Raw genomic sequence first — 21,822 nt, 5'->3', positions numbered from 1 at the left:
AATATATATTATAAACATATGAAACCCATTAAGTGTGTTCCATAACACATTGGATGATATGTTAATATCATACATTATGTATTATATGTCTTGTTAGAACAAGTTTCTCTGAATAATAATTGTTCTTATGTGTGATGGGCAACTTCGTTACTTTTTATTCTCCGTTATTTTATTTCTTAAAGAAAAGCATGGCCTGTCACACCTGTAATCCCAGCATTTAGGGAGGCCGAGGTGGGAGGATTGCTTAATCTCAGGAGTTCAAGACCAGCCTGGGCAACATGGTGAAACCCTGTCTCTACTAAAAATACAAAAAATTAGCTGGGCGTGGTGGCACACACCAGTAGTCCCAGCTACTTGGGAGGCTGAGGCAGAAGAATTACTTGAACCCAGGAGACGGAGGTTGCAGTGAGCCAAGATCACACCACTGCACTCCAGCCTGGGCAACAGAGTGAGACTCCATCTCAAAAAAAAAAAAAAAAAAAAGAAAAGCATGTACATATGATGTATGTATTATACAAACCTGTATAATGTGGGCTGCCTTGGGCCAGCATGAAGACTAACTTTTACTCTGGGAAGAGATTTTTAAGCTGGGATTACAGGTGTGAGCCACTGTGCTCAGCCTCTGGTTGTTGTTGTTGTTTTTTCCATTTGTTTGTTTCATTTTGGACAGGGTCTTGCTCTGTCACCCAGGCTGGAGTGCGGTGGTGCAATCACGGCTCACTGCAGCCTCAGCCTCCCAGGCTCAAGCAATCCTCCCATGTCAGCCTCCAGAGTAGCTGGGAATAGAGGTGTGCCACCACTACACTCAGCTAATTTCTTAATTTTTTGTAGAGATGGGGGTCTCTTTATGTTGCCCAGGCTGGTCAGGAACTCCTGGGCTCATGCCATCCACTCGCCTCAGCTCCCAAAGTGCTAGGATTACAGGTGTGAGCCACCACATCCAGCCCCTTTTTTCTCTGTTTTGAAGTAGAGGCCTATCCTGCCTTGTCTTGATTTCCTATTTTTTGTTTTTTTGTTTTTTTTTTTTTTGAGACGGTGTCTTGCTCTGTCGCCCAGGCTGGAGTGCAGTGGCGCCATTTCGGCTCCCTACAACCTCTGCCTCCCGGGTTCAAGTGATTCTCCTGCCTCAGCCTCCTGAGTAGCTGGGATTCCAGGCACCTGCCACCATGCCTGGCTAATTTTTGTTTTTTGTTTTTGTTTTTGTTTTTTTGAGACGGAATTTTCCTCTTGTTGCCCAGGCTGGAGTGCAATGACACGATCTCGGCTCACCACAACCTCCGCCTCCTGGCTTCAAGCGATTCTCCTGCCTCAGCCTCCCAAGTAGCTGGGATTACAGGCATGGGCCACCATGCCCGGTTAATTTCCTATTTATTTATTTATTTATTTATTTATTTATTTTGAGACGGAGTTTTGCTCTTGTTGCCCAGGCTGGAGTGCAATGGCATGATCTCGGCTCACTGCAACCTCCACCTCCCGGGTTCAAGTGATTCTCCTGCCTCAGCCTCCTGAGTAGCTGGGATCACAGGTGTGTGCCACCACGCCCGGCTAATTTTGTGTTTTTGGTGGAGACAAGGTTTCTCCATGTTGGTCAGGCTGGTCTCGAACTCCCGACCTCAGGTGATCCACCTGCCTCGGCCTCCCAAAGTGCTGGGATTACAGGCGTGAGCCACTGTGCCCAGCCGAATTTTGTATTTTTAGTAGAGACGGGGTTTCATCGTGTTGGCCAGGCTGGTCTCGAACTCCCGACCTCAGGTGATCTGCCTGCCTTGCCGTCCCAAAGTGCTGGGATTACAGGCGTGAGCCACCGTGCCCCGCCCCCATCATCCCTTTTTATGGCTGAATAATAGTCCATTGTGAGGCTAGACCACAATTTGTTTATTCATACATCTGTTGAACGTTGGGGTTGTTTCCTCCGCGTGGTGGCTATGAATAGGGCTGCTATGAACGTGCATGTAGCTTGCAGTCTTTTTAGGCTTAGATCATTTGTCTCGAGAGCAGTGAAGCATCATGGGAAGGGCATGGGCTCAGATCCCAAAATGCCTGGAATCAATCCCTAGCTCTGCCTCATACCAGTTGGATGAGCTTGGGCAAGTCACTGGGTATCTTGTGCCTGATAACAGAACTTCCTTTGTAAGTTTATTATGAAAGTGAATCAATTAATACATGCAAAACACTTAGGAAGTTGCTTAGCACAGAGTGAACGGTTGCAAAATGACTCTGCATTGCCAGCAACAGGAACCTTCCTGGGCTAACTGAAGCAGAAAAAGAACTTACTGGAAGGATATCAGGTAGCTCACTGGAGGCTAAGAAAACCAGCAGGAACCTTGAGAGGTTTACAGTTAGAGATGCCGATGCTGTAACAGAGACCCCATATGTGTAATGATATTGAGTGAACGAGTTTACTTCTTGCTCCTAAAATAGTAACGTTGGCCAGTTGCAGTGTTCACACCTGTAATCCCAGCACTTTGGGAGGCTGAGGCGGGAGGATTGCTTGAGCTCAGGAGTTAGAGAACAGCCTGGGCAACATAGCAAGACTCCTCTTCTACAAATAAAAATAAATTATAAAAATTAAAATACAGCTGGGCGCAGTGGCTCACGCCTGTAATCCCAGTACTTTGGGAGGCCAAGGTGGGCAGATCACTTGAGGTCAGGAGTTCGAGACTAGCCTGACCAACGTGGTGAAACTCCATCTCTACTAAAAATGCAAAAATTAGGCGTGGTGGCGTGTGCCTGTAATCTCAGGTACTCCGGGGGCTGAGGCAGGAGAATCACTTAAACCCAGGAGTTGGAGGCTACAGTGAGCCGAGATCACGTCACTGCACTCCAGCCTGGGCAACAGAGCGAGACTCTGTCTCAAAAAAAAAAAAATTAAAAATAAAAATAGGCCAGTTGTGGTGGCTCATGCCTGTAATCCCAGCACTTAGGGAGGCCAAAGCTGGAGGATCACGTGAGCCCAGGAGTTTGAGACCAGCCCCTGGGCAATATACAGAGACGCTATTTCTTCAAAAATACAAAAGTTAGTCAGGCATGGTGTCATGCTCCTGTAGTCCCAGCTACGAGGGAGGCTGAGGTGGGTGGGTTGCTTGAGCTGGAGAGTTGGAGGTTGCAGTGAGCCGAGATCATGCCACTGCACTCCAGCCTGGGCGACAGAGTGAGACCCTGTCTCAAAAATAAATAAATAAATAAATAAACAAACAAAATAAGACAAAACAGTGAAGTCACGCGCTGGGCATGATAGCTCACACCTGTAATCCCAGCACTTTGAGAAACCAAGGTGGGCAGATTGCGAGGTCAGGAGATCGAGACCATCCTGGCCACCATGGTGAAACCTGTCTCTACTAAAAGTACTAAAATTAGCCAGGCGTGGTGGCAGGTGCCTGTAGTCCCAGCTACTCTGGAGGCTGAGGCAGGAGAATCACTTGAACCAGGGAGTTGGAGGCTGCAGTGAGCCAGGATCGCACCACTGCCTGCCCTCTAGCCTGGCGACAGAGCGAGACTCCGTCTCAAAAAAAAAAAAAAAAAAAAAAACAAAAAAACAGTGAAGTACTGTACCACATAATGAGGTTTCTGTCCACAACAAACCGCATATACAACAGTGGTCTCATAAAATGATACCACCGTATTTTTACTGTACCGTTTCTATGTTTGGATGTGTCTAGACACGCAAGTACTTACCATTGTGTTACAACTCCTGCAATTTTCAGTACAGTCACATGCTGTTTAGGTTTATAGCCTAGGAGCAGAAAGCTCTACCACATAGCCTAGGTGTGTAGCAGGCCACACTATCTAGGTTCGTGTAAGCCCACTCTGTGATGTTTGCACAATGACAAAATCACCAAACAATGCATTTCTCAGAATGTGTCCCTGTCATTAAGCAGTGCACGGCTGTACTAGCCGGGAACAGGTTGGCAGGGCAGCCCTCCTCCACACAGTCATTCAGGGACTCAGGCTGTTGCAGCTCTGCCATCTTCAGTGTGTTTATTTCAAGGTCACCCTGGGGTGGTCTTCATGAGGACCACAGCATGGCTCATATGGACCAGGGCTGGAAGTAGCCGGCTTCACTTGGCTGGCTTATTTTTCCTAGAACTCGGTGCCCTGACCACACCTAACTGCACCTAACTATAGTCCCTGGCTGGGCAGCCACTTCCCAGCAAGGAGCCTGTCTGTTGGGTTGCAGCGAGCATGAAGCACTCAGGGACTCCAAGGTCAGAGGGCTGTCAGCACCATGGGTACCACCCCCTACCACTGCCGTGGACCTACTCCACACCCTAACATGGATCCTAGGGGTCTCTTCGTATCCTTGAAGCCTTCCCCAAGATTTCAGGTTCAGGCTGGGTGTGGTGGCTCACACCTGTAATATCAGCACTTTGGGAGGCCAAGGTGGGAGGATCGCTTGAGCCCAGGAGTTCAAGACCAGCCTGGGAAACATAGTGAGACCCTGTTTCTATAAAATGTTTTAAAATGCGCCAGGTGTGGTGGTGTGTGCCTATAGTCCCAGCTACTCAGGAGGCTGAGGCAGGAGGTTTGCTTGAGCCCAGGAGGTCGAGGCTGCAATGAGCCATCATTGCACCACTGCACTCCAGCCTGGCTAACAGACTGAGACTCTTTCTCCAAAAAAAAATTTCTCTTATTTATTTTGTTTTATTTTTTAGTAGAGACCAGGTCTCCCTGTGTTGCCCAGGCTAGTCTCAAACTTCTGGACTTAGATGATCCTCCTGCCTCAGCCTCCCAAAGTGCTGGGATTACAAGCCTGAGCCGCTACACCAGGCCCCAATTAAATGAGGGGTGACTCTGTATCCAGTCAAGAACAATGGACCTCCCAGACCCCCCTATAGTACAGGATGGCTATGTGGCATGGGGGCTCTGTAAAATCTAGTGGCTTTTCCATAAAAAGTGACAGATTAGACACACACTTCCTCTGACACCCCCTGCCCTCACCTCCTGTGTAGAAGGAGGCTGTGATGCCGAGGGGCAGCAGGCATCTTTTGGGCATGTGGCTAAAAGCCCCATAATGAGGAGGGTAGGGATTGAACGAGAAGGAGCCTGGGTTCCCAGTGACATTGTATGGCAGCCTTCTGGTTGTGGGAGAACAGTCCCCATATGGGGAAGCCATGGGTTTCTCCAGTTTCTGTTGCAGGCTGTTCCTGACTCAGACTAACAGCAATGGCGCTTCCCCAATGCAACAGAGGGGTTTAGATGCTGGAAAATCAAAAACCTCAGAAGTACAGACATTCATTCCTGAGGTCCTGAGTTTGGTGGGATCCACTTGGGCCCAGCATAGAGACTGTGAACCCCCACCCATCCTGCCTATGATTCATGACAGCATTTGCCAATTCCAGTGAGAGAGGTCCTGGACCCCGGTGTTCTGGCTTTTTTGCTTGTTTTTTTTTTGAGACGGAGTCTCTCTCTCTCACCCAGGCTGGAGTGCAGTGGTGCCATCTTGGCTCACTGCATTCTCCGCCTCCCAGGTTCAAGTGATTCTCCTGCCTCAGCCTCCCAAGTAGCTGGGATTGCAGGCGCCTGTCACCACGCCCACCTGACTTCAGGTGATCCGCCCGCCTCAGCCTCCCAAAGTGCTGGGATTAGTATGAGCCACCGTGCCTGGCCCCCTTTTTTTTTTTTTTTTTCTTTCTGAGACAGGGTCTTACTCAGTCACCCAGGCTGCAGTGCAGTGGTGCAGTCACAGCTCACTGCAGCCTCAACCTCCCAGGCTCAAGCGATCTTCCCACTTCAACCCCCCAAGTAGCTGGGGCTACAGGTATGAGCCACCGTGTCCTGGCCTGGTTTGTTTGTTTAAACAGCAAGGCATAATCTACACACCATGAAACTCACCCTTTGTTTTATTTTATTTTTTATTTTTTATTTTTTATTTTTTTTGAGACAGAGTCTCGCTCTGGCACCCAGGCTGGAGCACAGTGGTGCGATCTTGACTCACTGCAATTTCTGCCTCCTGGGTTCAAGCGATTCTCCTGCCTCAGCCTCCCGAGTAGCTGGGACTACAGGTGCACGCCACCACACCCGGCTAATTTTTGTATTTTTAGTAGAGACGGGGTTTCACCATGTTGGCCACGATGCTCTCAATCTCCTGAGCTCGTGATCCACCTGCCTCGGCCTCCCAAAGTGCTGGGATTACAGGCATGAGCCACTGCGCCTGGCCGAAACTCACCCATTTTAAGAGTACGATTTGATGATTTTCAGTAAACTGACATGGTTATGCAACCATCTCCACATTCCAATTTCAGAACATTTCCATCATCTCCAAAAGATCCCTCACATTCATTTGCAGTGACTCTCCATTCTCCTTCCTTCAGCCCCTAAAAATCACTGATCTACTTTCTGCCTTAATAGATTGCATTATTTGGGACATTTAATGTAAATGGAGTCATACAATGCATGGTCCATTTTATTGCATGAATATCTCATTCCTTTTTTTTTTTTTTGAGACAAGGTCTGGCTCTGTCGCCCAGGCTGGAGTGCAGTGACGCGCTGTCTGCTCACTGCAACCTCAGCCCCACCCCCGCCCAGTAGCTGGGATTACAGACATGCACCGCCACGCCCGGCTAATTTTTGTGTTTTTTGGCTGGGTGTAGTGTTCATGCCTGTAATCCCAGCACTTTGGGAGACAGAAGTGGGTGGATAGCTTGAGGTCAGGAGTTTGAGACCAGCCTGGGCAATATAGTGAGACCTCATCTCTACAAAACATACAGAAATTAGCCGAGCGTGGCAGAAAAAATAAAAATATTAAAACTTTTTTGTGATGTTTTTGTAGAGAAGGGGTTTCGCCATGTTGCCCAGGTTGGTCTTGAACTCCTGGGTTCAAGCGATGAGTAGCCTCCCAGAGTGCTGGGAATACAGGTGTGTAAGCCACTGCACCTGGCCTATGTTTAACTTTTTAAGAAACTGCCAAACTACTTTCCAAAGTGGCTGCACCATTTTACATTTCCGCCAGTGACATGCGAGAGTTTTGTTACCCTACAACTGATATAGTTTGGCTCTGTGTCCCAACCCAAATCTCATCTCGAGTTGTCATCCTCATGTGTTGAGGGAGGGAAGTGATCATGGGGGTGGTTTCCCTTATGCTGTTCTCCTGATAATGAGTGAATTCTCATGAGATCTAATGAATTTTAAAATGGCAGTTTTTCCTGCCCTTTCACTTCTCCCTCCTGCTGCCTTGTGAGGAGGTGCCTGCTTCCCCTTTGCCTTCTGCCATGATTGTAAGTTTCCTGAGGCCTCCCCAGCCATTCAGAACTGTAAGTCAACTAAACCTCTTTCCTTTATAATTACCCATTCTCAGGAATTTCTTTATAGCTGTGTGAAAACTGACTAATACAGAAACTTTGGAAGCATTAGTGGTTGTTCACTGTTTTGACTATAGCCATTCCAGTGGCTGGGAAATGGCATCTCATTGTGAATTTGACTTGTATTGCTCTACTAACTAATGTGTTGAGCATCTTTTCTTTTTTTTTTTTTTGAGACGGAGTCTCACTTTTTTGCCCAGGCTGGAGTGCAATGGCACAATTTTGGCTCACTGCAACCTCCGCCTCCCAGGTTCAAGGAATTCTCTTGCCTCAGCCTCCCAAGTAACTGGAATTACAGGCACACGCCACCACACCTGGCTAATTTTTGTATTTTCAGTAGAGACAGGTAGTTTCACCATGTTGGCCAGCCTGGTCTCGAACTTCTGACCTCAAGTGATCTGCCCACCTCGGCCTCCCACAAATGCTGGGATTACAAGTGTAAGACACCGTGCCTGGCCTCACTTGCTTTTTTCTTGAGATAGGGACTCACTCTTTTGCCCAGGATGTAGTGCAGTAGTGCAATCACAGCTCACTGCAGTTTTGATCTTCCAGGCTCAAGCAATCCTCCCCCCTCAGCCTCCTGATGAGCTGGGACCACAGGCATACACCACCACACCCAGCTATTTTGTGTGCGTGTGTGAAGATGGGGTTTCACTATGTTGCCCTCAAATTCCTGGTCTCAAGCAATCCTCCTACCTTGATCTCCCAAAGTGCTGGGATTACAGGTGTGAGACTCCATAGCTAGCTAGAATCTTTTTTTTTTTTTTTTCAGGTGGCATTTTTTTTTTTTTTTTTGATATGGAGCCTAGCTCTGTCCTCCAGGCTGGAGTGCAGTGGTACCATCTCAGCTCACTGCAACCTGCAACCTGCACCTCCTGAATTCAGGCAGTCCTCCCGCCTCAGCCTCCTGAGTAGCTGGGACTACAGGCACACACCACCACACCCAGCTAATTTTTATTGAAAACATATATATTATGAAATATTGCAGACATACAGAAAACAATATAATGAATAACCTTGTACCCACCACTTAGAATTAATAGAAATGAACATTTTGTCCTCTTTGCTTTGGTTTTTAAAGAGAGAAAGCTGAAGCTACAGTTTAGTCTCGTCATTCTCCCTCCCTGCTCTGGCACTCGGGAGGCTGAGGCAGGAGAATCGCTTGAAACCGGAGGGCAGAGGTTGCAGTGAGCCGAGATCGCACCACTGCACTCCAGCCTGGGCAACAAGAGCGAAACTCCATCTCAAAAAAAGAAAATAAAAGAAAAGAAAAAGATACCATCCTCTTTTGTGAGTCAAGTCCTTCTCCACTAGGTTCTCTACCCTTCCCCTTTTGATTGGCAGGAGGTATCTGTATGTCCTAAATTTGAGTTATTTGTCAGATTGATGTATTGCAAATGGCTTCTTCCAGTCTATGATTTGCCTTTTCCCTCTCTTGCTGGTGTCTTTTGAAGAATGAAAGTTCTTTTCTTGTTTTTTTTTTTTTTTTTTTTTTTTTTGAGACAGAGTCTTGCTCTGTCATCCAGGCTGGAGTGCAGTGGCACCATCACAACTCATTACAGCCTTCAACTCTCGGGCTTAAGTGATCCTCCTCGCTCAGCCTGCTGAGTAGCTGGGAGGCGGAGGTTGCAGTGAGCTGAGGTTGCGCCATTGCACTCCAGCCTGGGCGACAGAGCGAGACTCCATTTCAAAAAACAAACAAACAAAAAACAAGTTCGAGACAAGCCTGACCAACATGGCGAAACCCCATCTCTACTAAAAAGTTTTTTAAAAATTAGCCTGGCATGGTGGCAGGTGCACCAGCATACCGGGCTAATTTTTTATTTTTTGTAGAGATGGGGTTTCACCATGTTGCCCAGTATGGTCTTGAACCCCTTCTCTGAAGCAATCCTCCCACCTTGGCCTTCCAAAGCACAGTTTATAGGCATGAGCCAGTACACCCAGCCTCCTACTTTTTTTTTCTAAAAGTGTTATTTTTGTGTCTATCATATTTTGATCTACAATCCCTGTGGAATTAATTTTTGTGTATTATGTGAGGTAGATGTTAAGGTTTATTTTTTTCTCTGTGAATATTCAAGTGATCCAACGTGTCTTAAAAAGTCCATTCTTTTCCCACTGCACTACAGTGTCACTTTCGTCACAAGTCATATGACTGTGCATGTGTGAATATTTCTGGATTCTCTACGCTTTACCACTGGCCTGTCTATTCATGTGGAAATGCCACCCTGTTTTGATGATTATAGCTTTATGATAGCTTTATATCTGGTAGTGTAAGGTCTCCAGTTTTTCTCTTCAGTATTACTATTCTTGGCCCTTTGTGTTTCCATACACTTTTTTTTTTTTTTTTGAGACAGAGTTTCACTCTTGTCGCCAAGAGTGGAGTGCAGTGGCACGATCTTGACTTACTGCAACCTCTGCCTCCAAAGTTCAAGCAATTATCCTGCCTCAGCCTCCCTAGTAGCTGGGATTATAGGCACCCGTCACCATGCCTGGCTAATTTTTTGTTGTATTTTTAGTAGAGACGGGGTTTTGCCATGTTGGCCAGGCTGGTCTCAAACTCCTGACCTCATGTGATCCGCCTGCCTCAGCCTCCCAGAGTGCTGGGATTACAGGCATGAGCCACCGTGCCCGGCCCACATTTTTTTTTTTAATTTTTTTTTTTTTTTTTGAGATAGAGTCTTGCTGTGTCATCCAGCTGGAGTGCAGTGGTGTGATCTCGGCTCACTGCAACCTCCACCTCCTGGGTTCATGCAATTCTCCTTCCTAAGCCTCCTGAGTAGCTGAGATTACAGGTGCATGCCACCACACCTGGCTAATTTTTTAATTTTTTCAGTAGAGACAGGGTTTCACCATGTTGGCCAGGCTGGTCTCGAACTCCTGACCTCAGGTGATCCGCCTACCTTGGCCTCTCAACGTACTGGGGTTGCAGGCATGAGCCATCACACCCGGCAAGAAAACCAGTTTCTAGCAGGGTGTGGCAGCAGGCACCTTTAGTCCCAGCTACTCAGGAGGCTGAGGTGAGAGAATCTCTTGAGCTCAGGAGATCAAGGCTATAGTGAGCTATAATTGTGCTATTGCACTCCAGCCTGGGTGACAGGGTGAGACCTCAACTCTTAAAAAAAAAAAAAAAAAAGAAAAGAAAAAAACAGTTATTATGTTCAAACAATTAAAGTGTATATGTACAATTAAAATAATTTATAAACAAATTATATGACTAAGAAGAATAAGAACTAATTAGGCTGGGCATGGCGGTTCATGCCTGTAATCCCAGCACTTTGGGAGGTCAAGGCAGTTGGATCGCTTGAGCCCAGGAGTTCGAGACCAGCCTGAACAACATGGCGAAACCCTGTCTTTACAGAAAATTACAAAAATTAGCCAGGCATGGTGTTGTGTCCCTGCAGTCCCAGCTACTCAGGAGGCTGAAGTAGGTGGATCACTTGAGGCTGCAGTAAGCTATGATTGCACCACTGCACTCCAGCCTGGGTGACAGAATGAGACCTTATCTCAAAAAAAAAAAAAAAAAAAAGTAATAATTTATCAAGATCACTGCATATAAGGTACGGAAATCAGTTTATTCCTATCATCAGTACCAGCAACAAACAAATAGAAAATGAAATTTGAAATGTTGCCATCAAAATAGTATCAAAATATCTAATACATAGGAATAAACTGAATTTACATGCAAGATATCTATTCTGTAAACTACAAAACATTATTGAGATAAATTTCTTAAAGACCTAAATGAAGAGAATACCATGTTCATGGATTGCATTGACAGGAAAATCTTTTCCTCTACCAATCTAGATCCCTGTTGTTGGGAACCTGCAAATTAATTAACAATAGACAGATCAACACGTGGAAAGAAAAACTTTATTTACACATTAGGCAAGGGAACTCTGTAATGAGTAACTCATTGAATAGCTGGAAGTAAAGGTTTATTTACCAACTTAAGAAAAAGGAGTTCAGGCTGGATGCAGTGACTCACACCTGTAATCCCAGCATTTTGGAAGGCCGAGGCTGGGGGATCACGAGGTCAGGAGTTCAAGACCAGCCTGACCAACATAGTGAAACCCCGTCTCTACTAAAAATACAAAAATTAGCCGGGCATGGTGGCGCGTGCCTGTAGTCCCAGCTACTCGGGAGGCTGAGGCAGGAGAATCGCTTGAACCTGGGAGGCGGAGGTTGTGGTGAGCTGAGATCACGCCACTGCACTCCAGCCTGGGCAACAGAGCAAGATTCCATCTCAAAAAAAAGAAAAAGAAAAAGGGGTTCAGTGGAAAAGTATGGATAGTTCTATTGTTTTCTTTACTTGACTTTTTTTTTTTTTTTTTTTTTGGGACAGAGTTTTGCTCTTGTCACCAGGCTGGAGTGTGATGGCATGATCTTGGCTCACTACAACCTCCACTTCCCAGGTTCAAGCAATTCTCCTGCTTCAGCCTCGAAAGTACTGGGATTACAGGCACCCACCACCATGCCTGGCTAAGTTTTGTATTTTTAGTGGAGATGGGGTTTAATTAGGTTGGCCAGGCTGGTCTGGAACTCCTGACCTCAGGTCATCCACCCACCTCAGCCTCCCAAAGTGCTGGGATTACAGGCATGAGCCACAGCGCCTGGCCTCTATTGCTTTCCTGTGTGATTTTTAACACTAAAAGAGATGGACAGTCTGTCTCCTTCCTGGAATTCGCAGAAAACTCCCTTGGAGGGGGTTAATGGCAGTTGTATTTTCAGGAGGCTCTCCTTTAGTCCAATAAGAGGAGTGTAGATAACATTACAAGTGTTTTCACTGTAAAATAATCTTTGTGCCAAAGCTGTGGATTCCTTCAATTGGAAGGTTCAATATTGTAAAGATATCATCTTATAAACTGATTTATAGATTCAAGTCAATCCCAATTCTATGCCAAAAGGTGTGTGTTTGTATATTTGTGCATGTGCATGTGTGTGCAAACTGACAAACTGATACTAGAATTCACATGGACTGAACTGACTTGTCTCCAGGCCAGAGTCAGAGGCAACAACCTGCCCACTGCTTAATGGTGGCTATGGTGCCTTCTTTCGGGGAGAAGCATGGAGCCTGCCCAGGACGGAGCCGCTTGTTCAACCTTGTGAAACCAATCCCTGGGTTTTCACCTTGACCCTGCCCATCCAGGGCCACCAAGAGGGCCCCTCCCATAGGAGACTGAAGTGAATTCACACACCTCACCATGCTTTGCATTCAACCAACAGAAGCTTGGCCTGGCCTGGCCTGGCCTGCCCTGGAGTACGGACTTACTGGTGAACTGACCTCTCCTGGATTAGGATCCGGCTGATGTTTAAGTACCGGCCTCAAAGGTATAGGGTAAAAGGAAACAACGTACATCTGTAGCACAAGGTGTCTCCTGATTATTTAAAAATTAGCTACATTCAGCTGGGCGCGGTGGCTCACGCATGTAATCCCAGCACTCTGGGAGGCCAAGGCGGGCAGATCATGAGGTCAGGAAATCGAGACCATTCTGGCTAACTTGGTGAAACCCCATCTCTACTAAAAATACAAAATATTAGCCGGGCATAGTGGCAAATGCCTGTAGTCCCAGCTACTCGGGAGGCTGAGGCAGGAGAATGGCTTGAACCCAGGAGGCGGAGCTTGCAGTGAGCAGAGATGCGCCACTGCACTCCAGCCTGGGCGTCAGAGTGAGACTCCGCCTTAAAAAAAAAAGAAAAATCATCCTGGCCAGATGCAGTAGCTCATGCCTGTAATCTCAGCACTTTGGGAGGCCAAGGCAGGTGGATCATTTGAGGTTGGGAGTTCGAGACCAGCCTGACCAACATGGTGAAACCCCATCTCTACTAAAAATACAAAAATATCCGGGCATGGTGGTGCATGCCTGTAATCCCAGCTACTCGGGAGGCTGAGGCAGGAGAATCGCTTGAGCCTGGGAGGCAGAGGTTGCAGTGAGCCGAGATGGTGTCATCGCACTCCAGCCTGGGGGAGAAGAGCAAAACTCCATCTCAAAAAAAATTTAAAAAATAAAAATCATCCTAGGGCTGGGCACAGTGGCTCATGCCTGCAATCAGCACTTTACGAGGCTGAGGTGGGAGGATTGCTTGAGGCTGGGAGTTTGAGACAAGGCTGGACAACATAGTGAGACCCCATCTCTATTAAAAAATAAAATAAAATAAAATAATTTTAAAGCCGAATGGACACTAAACTTCCCTGTATGTTTGGATATTTTATAATCAAATTTTAAATAAAGACTGAAAATTAGGGGGAAAAAATAAGTTCTGAAAGTCAACAAAACCTCCCAGTGGTGTAACAAAAAGGAGCAATGGAAAAAAACAGGAAGGGAAAGTGAGGAGATCAGTGCAGGGTGGCGTTCCAGACTGGGAAGGGGTAGGAGAAGGGTAGGAGAAAATGGAGAGGAGGCAACAGATAAGACACACATTTAGGGGGTCACCAAGACCACCCTCACTTCTGTCATTGACTGCAAGCTCAGGAGTCTCTAAGATCACCATCAGTTTCAGTAATTTGCTAGAAAGACTCACAGAACTCACTAGGATCAGTTATTCTCATGGTTGTGGCTCATTACAGTGAAAAGAATCAGATTAAAAGCAGCCCAGGGAAGAGGTCCATGGGTCCAGGAGAGTTCCAAGTGCCAATTTAATACCTGGTACAGTTGTGGACAGCACTAACTTCTCCCAGCAATGATAAGTGACATGATGTCACCCACCAGGGAAGCCTACCTGAGCCTTGGTGTCCAGGGTTTTTAATAGGGATCAGCATGTGGATAAGGCTGACCACTTGTGTGGCTCCCCTTAGATTCTAGCCCCTCCAGAGGTTAAGCTGATATCACATGGCCCAAAGCCCCCACCATAAATCACCACTGTTAGCACAAACCATATGGTGTGGCCCAAGGCCCCATGTAAACTCAGGCTGGACATTCCAAGAACTAAAAAATTACCTCCCAGGAGTAAAAGGCAAAGGTCAGACCTCTATTTGGATGAAGTTAATCCTTTACTGAGCAGACAAGAAAAATTCGAAGGGCTAAAGAGAGAAACGGGATTTGGATAGAAGATAGAAGAGTTTAAGGGGAATAAGAAAAACATTCATCTTGGTGCAATGTCAGTGCCACAGGGATGACAACAAGCCCCTCTGCCTTTACACATCGTGGAACCAGGCCACCAAACTGCTGAGGAATAGGATTTCGAACTAGTCATTCTGGGGCTAGAATTTATCATCTCATCTAATGTGAAGGTGGAAAAAGATATTTCAGATATTCAAGGATTCAAAACACTGAGATACCAAGCACCCTTTCTGCAAAAGGTATCTAGGGATATACTCCAGGAAAACTAGAATGAAATTCAACAAAGAGGATGCAAGTTCCTCAAAAGAGGAGGAGCAGTATGAAGGAGGACAGTCCTGCAGCAGCCCAGAGAACAGCTAGTGTGTCCACAACTGTTTATTTAATAAACAGAATAGGAGCAAACATCTGGATGATCTTGGTCCCATGGTAAATTTTTGTGGGTCACATAGTTAGTTTGAGAATCATCATTCTAGGAAAAACTAAAACCTTCATACAGTAACGTCAAAGTTGAAATAAAAGAAAATGAAAATGTGGCACGATACGAAGCAGTGAGTCCAGCTGGCATTTAATGATAATGCTTCACATGCCACTGGTTTAGTGAAATAAAAATACATCTTCATTATGGATCTACAGGATTAATATTTCCATAACCTCCATATTTTACATGGTCTATATTTTCAATTTCAGGCAGCACAAAGCATTGCACAAAGCAATTACATAGGTTACCAATAAACAGTAAAAAAAAATAGGCTGGGTGTGGTAGCTCATGCCTGTAATCCCAGCACTTTGGGAGGCTGAGGCGGGTGGATCACTTGAGGCCAGGAGTTCGAGACCAGCCTGACCAACGTAGTGAAACCCTGTCTCTACTAAAATGCAAAAAAAAAAAAAAAAAAAAAAAAAAAAAAAAAAAGTAGGTGACATGGTGGCACACGCCATTGAACCAAGCTACTTGGGAGGCTAAGCCACCAGAATGGCTTGAATCTGGGAGGCAGAGGCTGCAGCGAGCCAAGATCACACCACTGCACTCCAGCCTGGGGGACAGACCGAGACTCTGTCTCGAAAATAAATAAATAAATAAAGGCTGGGCATGGTGGCTCATGCTTGTAATCCTAGCACTTTGGGAGGCTGAAGCAGGCGGATCACTTGAGGTCAGGAGTTTGAGACCAGCCTGGCCAAGATGGTGAAAACCCGTCTCTAGTAAAAATACAAAAATTAGTTGGAAATCACTTGAACCTGGGAGGTGGAGGTTGCAGTGAGCTGAGATAGTGTCACTGCACTACAGCCTGGGCAACAGAGCAAGACCCCGTCTCAATAAAAAAAAACCATACATACATAAATAAAAATAAACAGTAAAAAAATAAAAACCACTTGTAAAAATTGGGAGGGGAGAGGGAAGGAGATAGAATATGTGATGAATTCCATATAGTTCATGGGGTTGAGGGGGAGTGCAGTGAAAAATCAAGTTACAATTTTATTTTTTTTTTGAGATGGAGTCTCGCTCTGTCTCCCAGGCTGGAGTACAGTGGCATGATCTCGGCTCACTGCAGCCTCTGCCTCCCTGTTTCAAGCGATTCTCCTGCTTCAACTTCCAGAGTAGCTGGTATTAGAGGCACGCGCTATCACGCCCGGCTAATTTTTGTATTTTTAGTAGAGACGGGGTTTCACCGTCTTGGCCAGGCTGGTCTCAAACTCCTGATCTCAACTGAGCCACCCACCTCGGCCTCTCAAAGTGCTGGGATTACAGGCATGAGCCACCGCGCCCAGCGAAGTATGAATTATTGATGGAATTAAGAGTTAGCCTCAGGGCCGCGCTCCGTGGCTCACACCTGCAGTCCCAGCACTTTGGGAGGCTTTGGCAGGAGGGTCGCTTGAGCCCAGGAGTTCGAGACCAGCCTGGGCAACGCAAGGAGCCCCCATTTCTACAAAAAATTAAAAAATTAGCCAGGCATGATGGCGCGCACACGTTGTCCCAGCTACTCTGGAGGCTGAGGCGGGAGGAGGATCGCTTGAGCCCAGGAGTTCGAGGCTGCAGTAAGCTGTGATTTCGGCACTGCACTCCAGCCTGGACGATAGAGCGAAACCCTGGCTCAAAAAAAGAAAAATTAAAGAAAAAAAAAGAGCATCAGCATCTTCTGTGTTTATAACGATGCAAAAGCTGACACTCCACCTTCACATGAGTAAGTCATTAGTTAAGGAAGTTTTCCCTAGAGGATTCTGGGTGTGAGGCCTGCACTTGTCTTCGTTAAGGCGTCCCCGCCAGCACGCGTCCGATTGTGGTGACCACATCCCCATTGCTACAACGGGGACATCGAAGCACAGAGGGTCGGGGCTTATAGGAGGCTGCCCTGCAAAAGACCCCTGACTCCTGTCTTTTCCTGCAGTGTACCACTGGCTGGAGATGCGGACCAAAATGCGCATCATGGGTTTCAATGCCGCTGCCATCAAGCCGCTGAACGAGGGTGCAGCCGCCGAGCTGGGCGCGGAGCTGCTGGGCGAGGGCATCATCTTCATCACCGCCTGCAGCTGCCTGATGCTGGAGTATTGGCGCCACCAGTTGCAGCAGCGCCGCAAGGAAAAGGAGCGACGTGTTGCCAGGGAGGCGCTGCGGGGCGAGGTGGGCCACTTGGGGCTGGCGCTCGAGGAGTTGCAGGCGCAGGTGCAGGCGACGTCGACGCAGCTCGCCCTGGAGGAGCTGCGCGCTCAGCTGCAGGAGGTGCGAGCCCACCTCTGCCTCCGAGACCCGCCGCCTGCACCCCCAGTTGCGCCGGCGTCCGAGAAATAGGAGGTCTCGGGGCCCTGGTCTTGGAGGTGACTGCTGTCTGGACTGCGAAGTCTCTGTCTTGGCCTATTCTCCGCACTGTCCCATCCTGGACCGGCCCAGCTGACACCACCCAGTCCTTCGGGGGCGCCGGAGAGATCCTGGGCTGGAGCTGATCGAACCTCCCTACTAACCTGCCCAGTGGTACCTTCCACTGGGACTCTCCGCCTCCTGCAGGTGGAACGTTCCAAGAAGGACCCCGCCCTATCCCACCCCGCCCCTGCCAGCGCATTTGTTGAGCACTTTGGAAAGACAGCGTCTTTTATCAGACCCCACCTCCCTACCGCTAGGTAGGCCAGCAGGACGTCCACCTCTTTTGGCAAAACAAAATTCTGCACCCGGATTTAGCCACCTCTCATTCTGTCACCCGCACCCTCACTCACCTGAGTGGACCCTTCCCCTAGGACGCTCATCCTTTGCACCGAACACCACCTACCTCCTCCTCATTGGTACAGACCATTGTAAAGATGCACAAAGTTCCTACGGACTTCCCGACCCGCCCCCTTCCATCTACCTCAGTCTTAGGGGGAAAGGTGGGGGTGAATCCTGGACTGCGTTAGCTCCAATGAGTCACCACCCTGCGGCTCCTGACCTTAATCCATCTTAGTACCTGTCATTGACATCCTCCCCTCCCTGAGTGGATCGATCCAACATAACCCCCCTCTTCTTCCACCTATGGCGCACCCCACTGGCATGGCTATGCTGGGTCTTCCAGGGAAACGCCTCCCAGCCCGGCATTCTGTGGTCTGTTCCAGCAGGACGTGGCCTTTTGGGAGGAAAAACCGGTCTTGACCAGGGCTAGTCCATTCTGGCTTTCAGGCTCAGTCACTTGGTCACCAGTCCCCAGTCCTGGACCTACTGCTACTGTCCTTTTATCCGGTCCTCCCTCGCTGTCCTCTTCAGTTGCCTTTGCTAGGGACCGGCCTGTCCCTTTACTACCTAAGTCATCGTCAGTTCGCCCAACTTCCCTCCAAATCTGCCCCTCACGGTACGCAGGGATCGCCCTTCCTTCCTGCCTTTGGACTGGTCCAGGTCCTCCTCCGCCCTCCTTCACGCAAAGGCCTCCTCCAGGGGGACTACCTGTCCCTCAGCCCAGAGGTCCCCCTGTCCAAGCGGGGTATTCCACCAGGCCATATGACCTACCCACCCGACAACTGAAGGGGGCGTGGATGAGCTCTGTGACTCTGAATGCTACTTTATAAATCGACTGTCAGCGTTTTCTAATTAAAGGAGCTCTGGGGTAAAGATCTTAAGAACGTGTCTGAGAACCATAATGTGCGTCTGCAAAATGTCATTGAAATTAGGAAAGAAGGCCGGACACAGTGGCTCACGCCTGTAATTCCAGCACTTTAAGAGGCCAAAGCAGGAGGACTGCTGGAGGCCAGGAGTTAGAGACCAACCTAGGCAACACAGCAAGACCGCATCTCTACGAAAAATGAAAATATTAGCTAGGCGTCATACCAAACGCCTGTAGTTCCAGCTACTTGGGAGGCTGAGGCAGGAGGATCCCTTGAGCCCAGGAGTTCAAGGCTGCAGTGAGCTGTGATCCTGCCACTACACTCCAGACTGGGTGAAAGAGCAAGACTCCAACTCATTAAAAAAAAAAAAAAAAAAAAAGAGGAAAGAAGCTGGGAGAGTGGTAGAGTGGGGGCAGAGAATCATCTTATGAGCCCTTTCCCAAATCAGAAACTGAGGCCTGAGGTAAGCAAATGGACTTGCCCAAGGCTACACAAAGTGAGGCTGCTTCTGGCCTCCCCTAGGGTGGTGAAGGGCAGGGTGGGATGGGGAGGAAGTGGCCTCCTAAGGGGCATGGGGAGGGAGGCTGGAGGGGGCAGAGATCATCCTGGCTGCGGGCCTGAGGATGAGTGAGCAGGCGCAATATGCAGGGTGGGAAGGAAGATGAAGGGAAGGTGGATTCCTGGGAGGAGGCAGGGGTTCTCAGCAGAGGACCAAATCTTCCTGGAGGGGCACCGGGGGCCGAGCACACCTCCATCCCCATCAGAACAGGCCTTCAAATCACTCCAGAGATCTTAGCATTTATAAAAACTGGCAGATTTATTCTGCAGGGGCCCATTTTCAAGAAGCTAAAGGTGAAGGTGGGAGGGGAGAAGTTTCCTCCCCTTCTCCTTTCTCCCTCATCTTATTTCCTCCAAGGGGTAAAAAAAATGGCCTGGACCCCAAAACCTACCCAAATAAAAAATCAAAAAACTGAGGTTCCAAAAAGTTACAGCATCTTATTTCCTCATAGAAAAGGGGAAGGAGCCAGAGGGAAGGGGAGTCCCTGGGGTGGGGGGATATCTCACCCCCAGCCCGGTGAGACATCCCCTCCCCTTAAATAGCTGCCCCAAATGGGGCAAGCCCAGGGCTATAGCATTTAAAAACTCCCACATCCCATTTTATCAAAACCAAAGAGAAAAAAAAATTTCCCTTTTCCCCCAAAACCCAAATATATATATATTTTTTTTTCTTAAAAAAACCAAAACTTTGAAGGCATTAAGCGTTAAAGTGAATCTAGAACAAGGGAATGTGAAATTCCCTCCTTCCTTCCCCCTTCCTGTGGGGTTCATTGGTGCATCCCCAGCAGAGGGACCGGCCCCAAGGGGATGGCAGAGGGGAAGGACCAAAGGGAGAAAAGGGCGGGGGCCTCCCCAGCCAATCAGCAGCCAGTGTGGGTGTGAGCAGGGAAGCCACACCCCCTTGGAGTTTTCCAAGTGGGATGGGGAGTGGGAACGATGCATTCCTGTGTAGTCTTCAGCCAATTCCAAGTCAAGTAGAGGCAGGGAAAGCAGGGTGACAGGCCGGGTGTGCGGAAAGGAGAAGCGGGTCTTCTGGGTCCCTGTGGTCAGGGAGAACCCCGCTTCCTCAGCTCCTGGACGAAGGCTGGAAGGAAACAAGGAGCAGAGGTCAGGGGCAGAGTCTCTGCCTCCTCCCTTCCAAAACAGGGCTCTTGCCCAGGGACATGATGCCTCCAAAATAAGTAAATGTTTAAGAACAAAACCAAAGCAAACCACCTCACCTTCAATGATTTCCTCTTTCACTTTCTGCAATTCCTTCTTCACCTCTTCCAGAAGCTCCTAAAATTAATGGGGTAAAACTAATCAGGAGGGGGTACCGGGACTTGCAGGAATGAATCCCCCTTCTTTTATTTTTTGAGAAGGAACCTTGCTCTGTTGCCCAGGCTAGGGTGCAATGGCATGATCACAGCTCATTGCAGCCTCAACTTCCCAGGCTCAGGTAATCCTCCTGCCTTAGCCTCCCAAGTAGCTGGGACCACAGTCACCTGCCGCCACAATCAGGTAACTTTTTCTTTTTCTTTTTTTTTTTGAAACAGAGTCTCCCTGTCACCCAGACTGCAGTGCAGTGGCCCAATCTCGGCTGACTGCAATCTCTGGCTCCCGGGTTCAAGCGATTCTCCTGCCTCAGCCGCCCAAATAACTGGATTACAGGTGCCCCCCACAAGGCCCAGCTAATTTTTGTATTTTTAGTAGAGACAGGGTTTCGCCATGTTGGCCAGGCTGGTCTCGAACTTTTGACTTCACGTGATCCGTCCCCATCAGCCTTCCAAACTGCTGGGATTATGGCTGTGAGCCACCATTCCCAGCCTAATTTTTGTATTTTTAGTAGCGATGGGTTTCACCATGTTGGCCAGGCTGGTCTTGAACCCCTGACCTCAGGTGATCCACCCACCTCGGCCTCCCAAAGTGCTGGGATTACAGGCATGAGCCACCGCACCTGGCCTTCTCAGGTAACTTTTAAAAGTTATTTTTAGAGATGGGGGTCTCCCGATGTTGCCCCAGGCTGGTCTCAAACTCCTGGCCTCAAGCAATGCTCCCACCTCAGCCTCGCAATGTGCTGAAATTACACACATGAGCCACCGTGCCCTGCCAGAGTCCCCTCTTTCTTGTTGATGGAAAAGCCAGGGGTAGTAGGTTTGAGACCTACCCCTACATCGACACCATGACATCGCTGTCAAGGTCGCAGAGTGACTGGAGGATTCTAGGGGAGAATTCTGGATCCTTGGAGCCGGAAAAGTACTGGAGAACATCCAGTACCAAGGTTGGCAAGCGCATTCCAGCCTCCTGCCAACTCCAATTGGTGATGGACAGCTGGGTCAATGTGCGGAAAGAATTCAAGGCACTCATCTGGAATGAGCGCGGTGATAGATTAATAATGTCTGTCACAGGTGCCAGAAAAGGGGGTGTGGAGTCTCGGTCATCCTTGACCCAATCCAGTTTCTCCATTTGTCAGATTGGAAACCTGAGGTTTCTGAGATGTTATCTAGGATCATACGGCATGCCAGTGGCAGGGGCCAGACCTAGATCTCTCTTGCTGTGGTCCCCAACTTCCCCCCCAAGTTACCTGTTTCACCCTCTGTAGGTCCGAGTAATCACTGGAGCTGGGCGTGCAGGGTTGGGTCTCGGAAGTGGTCACCGAAGAAGACGACTTCATCCTGGGGGAGTTGGTGTGGTTTGGGACAGCAATGAGATTAGAGAGAGGACCTGCTTCCCCGCCTCCTATTCCAGGGGTCACATTGAGCTCTGCCTTATAAATTGGGCAAGTCCAAGTATTTTTGGGGCCCCAGTTTTTTTTTTTTTTGGTTTTGGTTTGTTGTGTTTTGTTTTGAGACAGTCACATTCTATTTCTCAGG

General features: G+C 48.2%; 2 protein-coding genes across 5 annotated transcripts in view; one reads left to right on the top strand and one right to left on the bottom strand.

Annotated features, from left to right (window-relative positions):
• The window catches only part of OPA3 (outer mitochondrial membrane lipid metabolism regulator OPA3), a 57,376-nt gene extending 38,609 nt beyond the window's left edge, over positions 1–18,767 (top strand). The window contains exon 2 of the mRNA NM_001017989.3: positions 16,738–18,767. Coding sequence (NP_001017989.2) covers positions 16,738–17,138 — 401 coding nt within the window. The 3' untranslated portion in view covers positions 17,139–18,767. The remainder of the gene's footprint in view (positions 1–16,737) is intronic.
• Positions 19,211–21,822, bottom strand: part of VASP (vasodilator stimulated phosphoprotein) — a 19,505-nt gene continuing 16,893 nt past the window's right edge. For all 4 annotated transcript variants that reach the window (NM_003370.4, XM_005259200.3, XM_005259199.3 and 1 more), the window contains exons 11-13: positions 21,534–21,624; positions 20,191–20,248; positions 19,211–20,054 (exon numbers count right to left, since the gene is read on the bottom strand). In NM_003370.4, coding sequence (NP_003361.1) covers positions 20,017–20,054; positions 20,191–20,248; positions 21,534–21,624 — 187 coding nt within the window. In that variant the 3' untranslated portion in view covers positions 19,211–20,016. The remainder of the gene's footprint in view (positions 20,055–20,190; positions 20,249–21,533; positions 21,625–21,822) is intronic.

This window comes from Homo sapiens, chromosome 19 (genome assembly GCF_000001405.40).
Source record: "Homo sapiens chromosome 19, GRCh38.p14 Primary Assembly".
Taxonomy (NCBI): Eukaryota; Metazoa; Chordata; class Mammalia; order Primates; family Hominidae; genus Homo; species Homo sapiens.
Note: the sequence above shows the minus strand (reverse complement) of the source record. Positions and strands in the feature narration are given on the sequence as shown.